The sequence below is a fragment of the Homo sapiens genome, chromosome 15, assembly GCF_000001405.40.
Source record: "Homo sapiens chromosome 15, GRCh38.p14 Primary Assembly".
Lineage (NCBI taxonomy): Eukaryota > Metazoa > Chordata > Mammalia > Primates > Hominidae > Homo > Homo sapiens.
Window position 1 is genome coordinate 48,871,485 of NC_000015.10, and position 14,239 is coordinate 48,885,723.

The 14,239-nt window shown below is 38.4% G+C and overlaps 2 protein-coding genes across 5 annotated transcripts in view, besides 3 other annotated features; one reads left to right on the forward strand and one right to left on the reverse strand.

The window, feature by feature from the left end:
* SHC4 (SHC adaptor protein 4) overlaps positions 1-14,239 on the reverse strand; it is a 140,179-nt gene that overhangs the window by 47,744 nt on the left and 78,196 nt on the right. For 2 of the 4 annotated variants that reach the window (NM_203349.4, XM_005254375.4), the window contains exons 4-5: positions 12,764-12,883; positions 605-658 (exon numbers count right to left, since the gene is read on the reverse strand). In NM_203349.4, the coding sequence (NP_976224.3) occupies positions 605-658; positions 12,764-12,883 (174 nt within the window). Of the gene's footprint in view, positions 1-604; positions 659-6,083; positions 6,559-12,763; positions 12,884-14,239 lie in introns of those variants that run through there. The other 2 variants (XM_047432493.1, XM_047432492.1) reach the window with 2 other exon arrangements.
* Positions 2,839-3,160: a silencer, noted in NCBI's record as "fragment chr15:49166520-49166841 (GRCh37/hg19 assembly coordinates)". NCBI's record gives its function as "represses an EF-1alpha promoter that drives an FKBP-Casp9 reporter gene in an ReSE screen in both phorbol 12-myristate 13-acetate-treated (for megakaryocytic differentiation) and untreated K562 erythroleukemia cells {active_cell/tissue: K562 | K562(+PMA)}" and the evidence as "EXISTENCE:reporter gene assay evidence [ECO:0000049][PMID:32094911]".
* Positions 6,225-6,334: an enhancer, noted in NCBI's record as "active region_9379". NCBI's record gives its function as "activates an Ori minimal core promoter by ATAC-STARR-seq in GM12878 lymphoblastoid cells {active_cell/tissue: GM12878}" and the evidence as "EXISTENCE:reporter gene assay evidence [ECO:0000049][PMID:35858748]".
* Positions 6,605-6,904: an enhancer, noted in NCBI's record as "active region_9380". NCBI's record gives its function as "activates an Ori minimal core promoter by ATAC-STARR-seq in GM12878 lymphoblastoid cells {active_cell/tissue: GM12878}" and the evidence as "EXISTENCE:reporter gene assay evidence [ECO:0000049][PMID:35858748]".
* EID1 (EP300 interacting inhibitor of differentiation 1) lies at positions 6,650-8,689 on the forward strand. Its single transcript, NM_014335.3, has one exon. It carries the CDS (start codon positions 6,693-6,695, stop codon positions 7,254-7,256), a length of 564 nt encoding a protein of 187 aa, NP_055150.1. The 5' UTR covers positions 6,650-6,692; the 3' UTR covers positions 7,257-8,689.

The window sequence follows — 14,239 nt, forward strand, 5'->3', positions numbered from 1 at the left end:
GAGTCAAGGAATGACACTCCATTCTGCAGAGTAGGCTTGGAGAAATCCTGTACAATTTCTGGGAAGTGAGTATCACATGACCCCATCTTGGTAGAGAAGAACTACAAGTTCTCTCTCCCCAGCTCAGCATTTCCTCCATGAGTTCCTGCAAACCTGGTTGCTCATTCCAGATTAGACTTAGTTGACTTGGTTGATATATCAAGTCCAGTTGATTAGTAAAGTGTTCCAGAAACTCTGTGTTGAGAAGAATTCTAAGGAAGGATTGAGCAACACATGTATGACATACTTGCTTTTCATGACCTAGATATTATCAACAAGAAGCTTATTAGATGATAACTCCATGGCTAATAACACAATGGAGCACTACTAGCTCATCTACTAATCCAAGTATTTTAAAATTTAATAATAGGAAATGTTTGCCTAAAGAAAATATTTTATTATCTGCTACATGTAGCTATTCACAGACTGTAATAGTATGTTAGGAAAAGACATGTAGTGGCTAATATGGTTTATGTAAAAGTTATTTTATTTTATTATCATCCAGCCCCAAATGTCAAGAAGTTATTTTAACTCATAAAAAGAACTTCTGTGAATCCATACTTACAGGATCCCCTCCAGAGGCAAATGAAATAGACTGCATATGATGATTTGCAATAATCTGAAAAACATAAACATGTATACTAATATAAATTAATTGTTATTTCTAGTTATATACAGTCTAACAGTAATAGACATACATTTGTTTGTTTTGTTTTTGCCTGATCAGCATCCCTTTGAAAACCACCCAACCTACACTCTATAATAATCTCATTTAAACCACGAGATTCTGATGATTTTGTGATGCCCATCTCACTGCCCTTGCCCACCCAGGTGGAACATTATCTAGGGCTAGCCAATCAGAAAATACCATCTCTCTGGATACAGCAGAGCCAATCAATGTATTTTGGGAAGAACTGAAATGAATAATAGGAGAGAAAGCATCTCTCTCTGCCATTAAAAACTATGTAAGCCCAAAGCTTCTAGGGGCCATATTATGCTGCCATGTGAGAAAAGTCTGCTGGAATATGAAGCTTTTCTTCTGATGAAAATCGGAACTGAGAACTAAAAATAGGAAAAAAGTCTGGTGGTAACATTTGTTCCATCACTTTAACCAATATATTTCACCCTCTCCCTTTATATTTTTGTTTCTTTTTGCAAAAGTTAGTTTGAATTTGATTTCAGTCATTCACTACTAAATGTATCCTGAGTAAGGCACTAACATTAGGACTTCTAATATGAGTAAGAATCGCCAAGTAACCACATTAATTAGCTAAGAAGATTGTCTTCTATTTGAGAGTCTAGGATTGCTTGTTTGCAAACCACAGTGTAATGACCATTTGCAGAGACATATCTGTCATGCTATTTTGAAGGTTCATTAAAACACCAACTATGCACCTATTGACTAATCCTGCTTTCAAAATTGTGTGACAGAATCTACCAAAGCTGATTATATAAGATGACCAGCAATTTTATTCCTAGACGTATATCCAACACAATTGTGTAAATATGTGCAACAAAAAATATTCTCAAAGAAGACAATAACTGCCCTGTTCATAACAGCCCTAAATTGGAAACAATTCCAATGATGACTATTGTAATATTCAATGGTGGCATACTATATAGCAGCAACATGTTTGCTGAGCAAAAGAAGTCTAACACAAAGAATATACTGCATGGCTTAATTTATATGAAGTTCAAAACTAGGCAAAATTATGGTATTTGAAATCAGAACAGTGGTTATTTCTGGAGCACAGGAAGAAGGGGCAAAAGATTTTCTGGGATTGCTGGAGTTTCTTGATCTGAATATTGGTTATACAACTGTTCATTTTGTGATAATTATTACGGACTTATTATCTGTGTACTTGTCTACATTTATATTTCAGTAAAAACAAAGTCAATATACAAAGATCAATGTCATTCCCATATATCAACAATAGTCGGCCGGGCGCAGTGGCTCACGCCTGTAATCCCAACCCTTTGGGAGGCCGTGGCGGGCGGATCATGAGGTCAGGAGATTGAGACCATCCTAGCTAACACAGTGAAACCCCATCTCTACTAAAAATACAAAAAATTAGCTGGGCGTGGTGGGCACCTGTAGTCCCCGCTACTCAGGAGTCTGAGGCAGGAGAATGGTGTGAACCCGGGAGGCGGAGCTTGCAGTGAGCTGAGATCATGCCACTGCACTCCAGCCTGGGCTACAGAGCGAGACTCCGTCTCAAAAAAAAAAACAGAAAAATAGCCAATTAGACACTGTATTTTGGGGAGAAAGGTACACTTTGTAAGAGTACTTTAGTACAAAACTAATAAGAATCATGTAATGCTTTTTGGAAAACTTCACTGAAGAGTATAAATAAGATCTGAACAAGTAGAAAGATATATATCACTCTCATGGATGAGAAGATGGTATTACAAAGGTGTCAATCCTACCCCAGATTAATTTATAAATTCCATGCAATTCCAATAAAAATGCTTCTAAAATTCATATGGAAGAATAAATGTGCAAGAACAGCTAAAGCAAATTTTAAAAGAACAAATGCATAAGAATTCCCTTATAAGATAATAAGAAATATTATAATATCACATTCAAGATGCTCCTAAATTCATATGAAAGAATAAATGCACAAGAAGAGTTAGCGCAGTTTTTTAAAGAACAAAGACAAAATATTCCTGATCAAACAGCAAGATATAAAACTGTAAAAATGTCACAAGAATTCAAAGTCTAAAAATAGACTCATGTATTTAAGAACTTTTAGTCTATGATAAATCTGACACCAAGCAGCAGTCAGCCAGAAATCATGTGTCCATGGTGAGAAGAACTAGAGCAGGGGCTCCCGACTCCCCTGGCCAGAGACCAAGTACCAGTCCGTGGCCTGTTAGGAACCGGGCTGCAGAGGAGGTGAGCAGTGGATGAGCAAGAGAAGCTTCATGTGTATGTACTGCTGCTCCCCGTTGCTCACATTACTGTCTGAGTTCTGCCTCCTGTCAGATCAGTGGCGACATTAGATTCTCATAGGAGAATGAACCCTATTGTGAACTACACATACGAGGGATCTAGGTTGCATGCTCCTTATGAGAATCTAATGCTTGATGACCTGAGGTAGAGCTGAGGTGGTGACGCTAGTGCTGGGGAGTGGCTGCAAATACAGATTAACAATAGCAGAGAGGTTTGACTGCACAGAGACCATAATAAATCAATTGCTTGCAGACTCATATCAAAACCCTATCGGTAAGTAGCAAGTGACACTTAAGTTGCATCTGGTGGCAGGCTACATAGTGGCAAGTGAGTTGATGTACTTCAGTTGTACAGCTGCAGCTGATGGCAGGCTTTAAGTCTGAATCCGACTATTTTAGTTTGTTCCTGACCCGCCCATTATTTTATTTACCACTCCCATCCATGTCTCTTTCCTGCACCATGCACTTTCTCGGTCACAGTTTTGGTAAGCCCATAAGCTAACCCTAGCCAAAATGAGTAAAAAACAAACTTCACTGGAGAGGTTCTTTGAAAAGGGGGAAAGATCCAGTGATGAGACTGCAGAAGACTTTAAGACTGCCAACAAAAATAAAGCTGCATTTAAAAGAAAATATCAAGAGTCCTACTTAAAATACCAGTTCATTACAACAGGTGATTCACATTATCCAAGCTTGCTTTGCATAACATGTAGCAAGTGGCTATCTAACAAAGCCATGAAGCCTTCTAAACTGCTTTGTCACATGGAGACCACACACCCTGCATTAATACTAAGCCTTTGGAGTTTTTCAAAAGAAAACAATGTGAACACAAAGAATAGAAGAAATTATTGAAGGCCACCACTTCATCAGATGTGTTTGCACTGAGAGCATCATTCTTAGTGGCTAACCACATTGCTAAAGCTAAGAAGTCCTTTACTATTGATGAAGAGTTGATCCTGCCTGCTTCTAAGGACATTTGTCATGAACTTTCAGGAGAGGCTGCAGTTCAAAAGGTGGCATGTGTTCCTCTTTTGGCTAGCACCACAACTAGATGAACTGATGAAATATCAGAGGATAATGAGGCACAATTGTTAGAAAGGAACAATGCTTTTTTGTGTGTGATATATTTTGCAGGAGGATGTGAATGAGGATATGCTATATGCACTTTTGTTGCCAACCAGCACCACAGATGCAGAACTATTCAAGTCTTTGAATGATTACATATCAGGAAAGTGGAATCAGTCATTTTGCATCGGTATATGCATGGGTGGAGCAGCTGCCATGACTGGATGGCATTTTGGTTTCACTACTCAGGTCAAAGAGGTCGCTTCTGAATGTGAGTCTATGCACCATGTCATCCATAGAGAAATGATGGCTAGTCAGAAAATGTCACCTGAACTTAACAACATTTTGCAGTATGTGATTAAAATTATCAACCATATTATACATGCCCTTAACTCACATCTGTTTGTGCAGCTCTGTGAGGAGATGGATGCAGAGCACACACGTCTTCTCTTACACACAGAAGTGAGATGGCTTTCTAAAGGTAGATCACTGGCCAGAGTTTTTGAGTTAAGAGAGCTGCTTCAGAGATTTCTTTGTAGAAAAACAGTCACCATTGGCGGCACATTTCAGTGACACAGAATGGGTCACAAAAAAACTTGCTTACTTGTGTGACATATTCAACCTGCTCAGTGAACTCTGTCACTTCAGGGACGAACAACAACTGTGTTCAACTTGGCAGATAAGGTGGCTGCATTCAAAGCCAAACTGGAATCATGCGGGTGACAAATGAACACTGGGATTTCTGACATTTCAAACATTAGCAGAGATTTTGAAAGAGACTGAGCCAGGGTCTTCTTTCTCCCAGCTGGTGCATGATCACCTATCTCAGCTTTCAAAATATTTTGAGCATTACTTCCTGTATTAGTCATGGTTCTCTAGAAGCACAGAACTAATGGAATATATACATATATATATACACACACACACACACGTATATACACATACACACATACATATACACATATATATGTATATATATGTAAAGGGGAGTTCACTAAGTATTAACTCACATGATCACAAGGTCCTACAATAGGCTGTCTGCAGGCTAAGGAGAGAGGAGAGCCAGTCCGAGTTCTGAAACTGAAGAACTTGGGAATCCAATGTTCGAGGGCAGGAAGCATCCAACACAGGAGAAAGATTTAGGCTGGGAGGCTAGGCCAGTCTCTCTTTTCACATTTTTCTGCCTGCTTATATTCTAGCCAAGCTGGCAGCTGATTAGATTGTGCCCAACCAGATTAAGGGTGGGTCTGCCTTTCGCAGCCCACTGACTCAAATGTTAATCTCCTTTGGCAACACCCTCACAGACACACCAATGATCAATACTTGTATCCTTCAATCCAATCAAGTTGACACTCAGTATTAACCATCACACTTCTCATCCACAAAAGACGGAATGGATCTGTGACCCATTTGTGAATAAGCCAGGTGAATCCACTTTGTCCACGCTAGAAGAGGATCAACTGCTTGATATTGCAAATGACGGTGGCCTTAAAAGTATGTTTGAGACAACTTCAAATCTCCATACGTTCTCGATTAAAGTCAAGGCGGAACATCCTGAGATTGCCACAAAAGTACTGAAAAGCCTCCTTCCATTTTCAACATCCTATCTTTGTGAGGCAGGATTTTCCACAGTAACAGCAACCAAAATGAGATTACAGAATAGACCGGACATAAGGAACACACCTCGGGTGTCACTGTGTCTCATCACCCCCAGATGGGACCATCTAGTTGCAGGAAAACAAGCTCAGGGCTCCCATTGATTCTACATTATGGTGAGTTGTATAATTCTACATAACTATAATGTAATAATAATAGAAATAAAGTGCAGAATAAATGAAATGTGCTTGAATCCTGTAAGTATACACAGTCATATAATTCATATAAGTATATACAACTTAAAACCTGAGGCTTTTAAGTTGAAGGTAAAAACAGGTAAAACATGTTTTTAAAAAACACACAAAATAGTATTTTGCTGTCAATACATAAAGATACATGTAAATGCAAATAAAAAGAATTCAAAGAATACACACCGCATTGCTAATAGTGGAAAGATACCTCCCAGGCGAAAAGAAATGGGACCAAGTATTTCTTCACTATAACTAAAAAAAAAAAAAGTACAATATATCTGTTGTTTGTGAATTTAACTTTTTAAATGAAAACACTAAAAGGACAAAATGGATTAGTTCTTAATATGCTGATCTGTGGTTATGGATGTTGTCTGGTTTGGAGACGTGGATTTACAAGTCATCAGTACATCGGTAAATTGCCCAGGGGAAGAGGAAGGGGGGGAAGGAGCATTAAATGTTACGAAGGCCATGTAAGGTTATTTTCCGGTTTGCAGCATTACAAGCAGCAGTAGGGTTAAGTAACACAGAAACTGTTACGCTCTTGCATGCAGGGTCCCTAGATACGAAGTTCGAATCGATGGAAACGTAGCTCAAAAGGCGACGCCAACACCCCGGAGAAAACACTGAGCTACTCCAACCACAGTGGCGCGCCAAGTAGGAGGCGGTACCTGAGGACCACGCCTGCGCGCGGGGTTACGCAAGCGCGCAGCCTTTGCGCACGCGCACGAACGCACGGCCGCGCAGCATCTGTCTTGCTGGAAGCTTTTTCCTAGAGGTTGAGCGGTTTGCACAATGTCGGAAATGGCTGAGTTGTCCGAGCTGTATGAAGAGAGCAGTGACCTGCAGATGGATGTGATGCCTGGCGAGGGTGACCTTCCGCAGATGGAGGTAGGCAGCGGGAGCCGGGAGCTATCCCTGCGTCCCTCCCGCAGCGGGGCCCAACAGCTCGAGGAGGAAGGCCCAATGGAGGAGGAGGAGGCCCAGCCAATGGCGGCGCCAGAGGGGAAACGGAGCCTTGCTAACGGGCCCAACGCTGGGGAGCAGCCAGGCCAGGTGGCGGGCGCAGACTTCGAGAGCGAGGACGAGGGCGAGGAATTTGATGACTGGGAGGACGACTACGACTATCCCGAAGAGGAGCAGCTCAGTGGTGCCGGCTACAGAGTATCAGCCGCTCTTGAAGAAGCCGACAAGATGTTTCTGAGAACAAGAGAACCAGCCCTGGATGGCGGGTTTCAGATGCATTATGAGAAGACCCCGTTTGATCAGTTAGCTTTTATCGAAGAGCTTTTTTCACTGATGGTTGTCAATCGTCTGACCGAAGAACTCGGCTGTGATGAGATTATTGATAGAGAGTAGTTAGATGCTGTTAAAAGAGGAGGAAACTACTTGAGGAGGGACCCAACTTTCCGCTATCTTTTGGGTTCATTCCAAATAGTTTTGTGCCATTGAAAAACTTGACCTTCAAAAAAATTTGTTTTTCAGAATAGAACACAATAGGACAGTGACTGCACAGTTGTGAAAAAGGAAGAGAATCATTAAAGAAAAAGAAAAAAGATTTTAAGACCGTTGAAATCAATTATCAAGAACGTCCTAAAACACCTATGGCTTTGACTTTGTTATTGATCCAGATTATTTTCCTTGCATTGGGGAAAATATCTTTCATATTTGTTTGCTGTAAAGATGGTTTTGCAAGAATAAGTCATGACCAAGACAAACTGCCAATACAAAAGCCCACTGATACTAATTATATAATGAGAAAAAAATGTATCCAACTAGGACACATATCTTTTGAGTTATTTGGACTGAAAGCTTAAGAAAACTTGGAAAATTCTATTTTGTGATCTAGTCAAGCCACAGTTATCAAAGGCTACATTTTCAGTGTAAGATAAATGGATGAGTAAACTCAAATATGTATCACGTGTGCTTTGTATCTTAAGATGTGTTTCCAAGAGCATCTGAAATTTTGTTTGTACATGTATCTTGATCATTTATAAAGCCACTGTGATCTATAAATCAAGAAAATCCATTGTCATAACCATTTTTAAAAGTCAAAAATTAAGACATCCTTAATTAAAAAGTTTCAAATCTAGACACTAAATGTGTGTGAATGTACAAAGAAAACAAACCATTGCTTATGCTGTTATATACTAGAGAAATTTTGTTTTGCTTGCTGTTTTAACTTGACAGATGAAGGACTTTAGTTGAACTTCATATTGTAAGAACTGTTAATAAAAGTTGTCAAGTAAAAAGCGCTATATCTAAAAAGACTTTATGAACAGTTATTCTATCAACTTTTAAAGGTTTTAAACCTGCCCAGAAATTACCTTGGTATCTGAAGTTTCCCTCTGTCTCCTCCTCTAATTAAGCTTGTTATTTGTCATGCACCAGCATTGGAGATAATAAAATTTCTTGTTCTGTGTATTTTGTTTGGCTAATAGTATTGCATACATACTTTCTCTGTATACTACTTTCTATTGTATGTGTTAACCAGTATTAAGGGAAAATGATCCAGCTTCAGCTATCTAATTCACAAATTAATTTCTGGAAATTAAACTTTGTAAATTAAGTTTTTGCCTATAAGAATTTGCTGGTCTGGGAAAACCTGCCCTATCAATGAGTATGTTGCCGTGGTTACCTTACTAAGATGCTGAAGTTCTAGGAGAGTAATGATTACATCAGAAGGCTAGGTTCAGCAAAATAAGTGTATCAGCAGGTTTTATCATGATCAGTAAAAATGTTCCAAATGCTTCTGCTCCATTATAGCAGTAAAGAACGAATATCCAATGCAACAGGACAATTCAGAGCCTTATTTATTTTATGGTCATCCTGTCTTTTGGGGAGAGAGATCTGTAAAAGATAGGACTGTGACAAGGCTGATCAGAATTGCTCAGACACTAGCTGGGTTAGGAGGGAGAGATGGTGGAAGTAAAATGTTGGTGCTTAGACTTAATCCTACTGCCTCTTCCACTGCTTTCTCAATTAGCGTGCAGCTACGGTCAGATGAGTGTGGATAGGTAATTAATTGCATGGATGATGTAAATTAGTGTGGGTGGGGGTATGCTAGTGCACAATAAACTGGCTGGTTGTATTTACCTCCAGATCTTTATCTTTACCAGGAAAGTTTATCTTTACTAGGAAAGATAAACTCTTGGAAAAAAAAATCTGAGGTCCACAAACTAGAAGGTTGTGATTCTGTTTTTCTCTGGGACTGAGTAGGGCAAAGAGGTGGGGGTGGGAAACACTATTCCATCTGAAGGCCCATCTTGGGGAGAAAAACCTGGGCTCTGCAATTGACTTGGTTGTTTTTCAGTCTTAAAAATAGGCAGTAAGCTGAGAGACAATGAAAATTGTAAATACTTACTTGTATTTATTGAGGATAGAAAACATTTTAACACCCCTTTTAGGGGTGTAAAATTATTTGTGTTTCTTTTACATGCAGTTGCCACAGACAAACCAGACTACTTGGTTAAAATTTGGGTTCTACTATTTATTAGCTCAGTAACTGGGAAATTAATCTCTCTGGCTCATGTCCTAAACTGAAAATAGGAACAATTGGATGTACCTTACAAATTGTGAGGACTAAATGATGATGTGTGTGAGAGTGTGTGTGTGTGTGTGTGTGTGTGTGTGTGTGTGTGTCTTCATTTAAGGAAGCTAGAGAAAGGAGTTCTGGGGAAATTCTGATTTTGCAAGGTAGGGGATTTAAAGAAGATTTTGAGTACACGGTGTGATTAGGGAGAGTTTTCCAAATTTATCCATACATATTATAAATGTTCGCTTAGATCAGATATCCCATGTTGACTGTCTTCAGGCCACAGATCTATTTTGTTTGGTTCATGCTTATAATTTTAAGAGACCAACATCTCAGTACAGAGACAGCAGCTAAAAATCTAGATTCTTACCTTTTTATTATTATTTTTTTAAAGTAAAAGATCTGGGAGCCTTTGACCTATAGACCTATGTAGCCAACAAACAAACAAAAAAACAAAGCAAAAAAAAAAAAAAACCATCTGATTCACCTTTAGATAAGGAAGATTCTGTTTGCCAAGTCCCTCAGTGTTGTCTCCCCAACACAGAGGCCAGGTAGCACTTGACATTTATCATTGGGCCTGCACCATTGTTTTTTCTTGTGCTTGCACAGCTTGCATTACCTACTTGGCCTCTAAATATCTCAAGTTGCCTCTCCTTGTAGAGACTAAAGGATGTCTCAATTTTTGCCTGTTTTACCTTAACTCTATTACCCTTCTGAATTCAGTACCTGTTAGAGTTGTAGAAATCAGTAAAGAATTAGTGGGAGTGTGAGCAACTGAGACTCTGACTTTGCTTGAGGCCCTAAAATACTATATTAAAGTATGTCAATAAAGTCTGTTGCTTGAATTTTAAAACAAGGAAATACCTATAACTTACCCTTGCAAAAATGTATTCCCATCCTGAAATATGGTAATATTTAAAAATTGCAAGCATCGCATGTTTAATATTTTCTGCCTCTGGAGGTTTGTAAAATATTTTCTGGGAATGAATTGTTATATTCTTGATGTTCTCAGTGGCCAAAGATAAATGTGAACTATCCGTTCCATAAATGCTATCATCTATGAATATATCCATAAATTTGAACCTTTGTTTTCAGTCCAAAGCATATCTTAGAAATTAAGTGGGGATGGGGAAGGCATTAGTATTTCTTTGTATTTATTTTAGAACTTCCAGTGGTAGCATTAAGGATTTAATTAATCCTTTTCTTGTGCTGTATCCACAAGGTCTCTCATCTTTGCTGCCTTCATTTCTTAAACATTTTAGTTGCCTTTCTCATGGGAAATAAAGCTTCTTGAGTTGAGGCCTCTACAGTGGCACATCTCTCCCCCATATCCCCCAGCCATTTCCCCTAGGCCTGCAGGAAAGCTCAAAATAGTTATTAAAAATCAGCCCTCAGGTCTGAGATAAATGAGATCTTAACTTTGGTCCCCACTCTAGCAGTGGGCTGAATACAACCCATTCCATGCCACCAGTGCAGAAAAGCTATGGATTACTTTCAAAGGCACATCATATTACTATAGTTACTGGTAATGAAAACCACCCGTTATCCTCACCTCTGTTTTGCCTGAAAGATTATGGATGGGTAGTAATACTTTGCCCTAAAGAAGGGTACTGAAGGGGAAAGAGAGGCTGAGAATAAACTCTGCCCCACCACATATACCACAATCCCATTCATAAATTCCTTATTCATTTCAGACACCCCACAGAAAGGGCCATCTTAAAAAATGATCATAGATTCTACCCAAAAGGCTGTCATTATGATGGCTTCAGCTTTGCCTACTCTTCCTCCCTTACAAAACTCTGAGATAACCCGAGGGCTCCTTTACTTAGTGAGATCTCATAACTAAAAGCATTGAGCTTGCGTGGTACCATCCATGTGAATGAAAACTGAAAATAAATTTTGCATCTACATATGTATTGAAGTCAAAATGTCAGAATGACTGAATGAATGTTTCACCACCCACATGTGTCTTCCAAGTGCAGCCCAAAATGTTATGCTCTCATGATACCAATGGTATCACCACTCTTGGAAGATCAGTCAGGACCCAACTAGACAAGAACTTATTTGTAACTGTTTCATATTAACACTTTTCCTCTAAGGTGTTGTATACTACTGCTTAAACAGTGTATTTTATTCTGTTTTTTTAATTTAGAAAATAAAATAGACCTCAAAACCTGTACTTATATGTTACTGATAATTTTATAATCTTATAATATGCACTTCCTATTAAGTACTGAGTATATGAAAAGGTCTCTGAGAATATTTGAGTAAATAATAATAGGTATCATGTGACTGGCACATGCTATATAATTTACATCTATTATCTCATTTAATCCTCTAAACAGCCCTATGAGACACTTAAAATCCATCCTCTCAGAAACCTTATAAATAAGTACCATAATCCTCATTTCACTGATGAGGAAAACTGAAGCCCAGAGTAGTAGAGTCATTTGCTAGTAAGTGGCAAAGCCAGCATTTCAACCCATATGTAACCTCAGACTTTTAGCATGTTATTATTGCCAAGTACATATTAAACCTTGATCAACAGCACTCCATACAGTAAAACCTTAAGTGTAAAGAAACTTGGATCACAACATATTAGACAAAGAGGAAAATCAGATCCTAACACACATACATAACCTGATAGAAGGAATTTAGTTTAAAAAATTAAAAGCAAGCCAAACAAAATGTCCTGGTTTAGGTACACATTTAGCCCAATGCCTACGTATCTTCTACATTTGCTTCAGCAATGCTGTTCTTTGAGAAATGAGGTTCACAATGAAAACTCAGGCACACCACAGTACCATAAATTATTAAGGAAGAAAACATTACCTTTTATACAATAACATTTTAGAAAGCTTCTCAACCACAAGAATTGGAAGAAAATATTTTCTGCTTAAATTTCAGTTCGCTAGAACATTAACCCCAACATCACCTTTCCCCTTTGTCCCTCATCTGTACCCTGGCCCAACACACAGTCTGTTAGTTGTGATAACGGAATTGCTATCCATTTGGGGAGGGTTGGTGGAGACATCAATGACCAATTCAAGGATATGAGTTGCTAAATGATATTTTCTATGTTCTTTGCAACTTAGTTCTTCATTCAAAGCCAGTTAGGTAGGGACACCTATGTAGGTGGTTACATGCTCCAGTGATGGGTTAGTAATGCTGTTGTTCTAATGATTGTTATGCATAAATCTTCAGCAGATTTTTCCCTTGTGCTGTATTAGGTTGTAGGCATACTCTGTCTAAAACTTTATTCTTTTCATTATCCCCACGCTTCTCTGAAAAAATAGATATGTTTATCTATAAATGACATTTGTGATCTTACCTGTTGGTTGTCAAGATTCATCAATGTGAGACTGCATGTTGAGATGGTCAGTTTTATATTCATTCCTGAAAACTGAAGATTACTTTTGCCAAGGACTGTTGATAGGAACTTAACTGGAGGCTTTAAAAATTAAAGAAGAAAAACAAAACACTGTTAGGAATTTTGTTACAGAATAAATGTTAATGTTTTTTAAATGTTAAAAATGAGTCAAAGTCCAAACTCTTCCTCTCTATTTTACTTTATGTAAATCAAATGAAAGGGAATGGTTTTTATTAAATAAACTTTTTTTTAAATTAGGATGCAGCGAATTCTTTATTAAGTAGTGAAATTTAGGCCCTCAGAACTTTCTCATAGTTTCTCTCCTCCCCAGGTGCTGGGAGTGGGCTCCTGCTTTAATGTAAACAAATTCCTGTGAGAGTTTAGACCAGCTGAACTCTTGAGTCCTTTTCAATACTACAAATCTAAAAAAAGAAAAATTTGACAATCCACTGAATCTAATGCCACAGAAGGCATTGATGAACTCTCCAATTACGTAACTGCTTCCTTCTCTGAGGCCATCCCTGTTCCTCCCTCATCTTTCCCTTCCCAGAGTTAAAAAGTCCTCTCTACTAGTCTAATTGTTACCTTCAGATAATCATGATGCCTGAAATTCTACCACTGGGCACCCTTTTAGGTTAAACCATTGTTTTCAGAAGGTCCCAATTGTTAAACTGAACAAATATTACTAGGAAGGGGTTAGCCCATTCCACATTAACTCATTAATAAAGATGATTTACCAGAAATTACTAATAGAGATTTAGAGGCAGATCCTGAGGAAAGGGATATGTTTTGATAAAAGTCAAAATTCTGAACCAGTCATTTCTCAAGGAGAAGAAGTGTGGGGGTGTGGTGAAGAATCATGAGAGCAGGGGGTACCCAGGAATTATAAAGAAAAGCACTGGGGTCATATGTCAGGAAAAAGGTACCAACAGGGGGGCGAGAGGCTGGGCTGGCAGATTTCCTCAGGCAGAAATGCCACTTACCAACTGATGACCTTAGACAAATAAACTTTCTAAGCCTCAAATTCCTTTTATATAAAATGTGGGGGGAAAAACAGTAGCCACCTCATAAGGGCTGTTGTGAAGATTAAATAATAACTAGAGAACATTTAGCATAGTATTTGGCTGGTTACATGAGAGCTGTTATTATTATTATTACTTATTTTTGCCCTTCCTAACATTAAAAATTCTAAGAAATCATTTGAGAGATTTGAATGCTTTGATGGATGCTTGGATTAAGTCCTGAAATCCTCTACTGGAAAGTGGACCAGATGATGGAAATCAGTAATTCCTCAGCATATGAATCAATACTTTAAGGCAATCAATGAAAACACAATTTGTTTCTTTCCTAGTTTTGCTTTTATATTACTCTCATTTGATTCATTCTGGAGCCATACCAAACTGTTAAACACACACTGTTGAAATTTAATGTACAGTT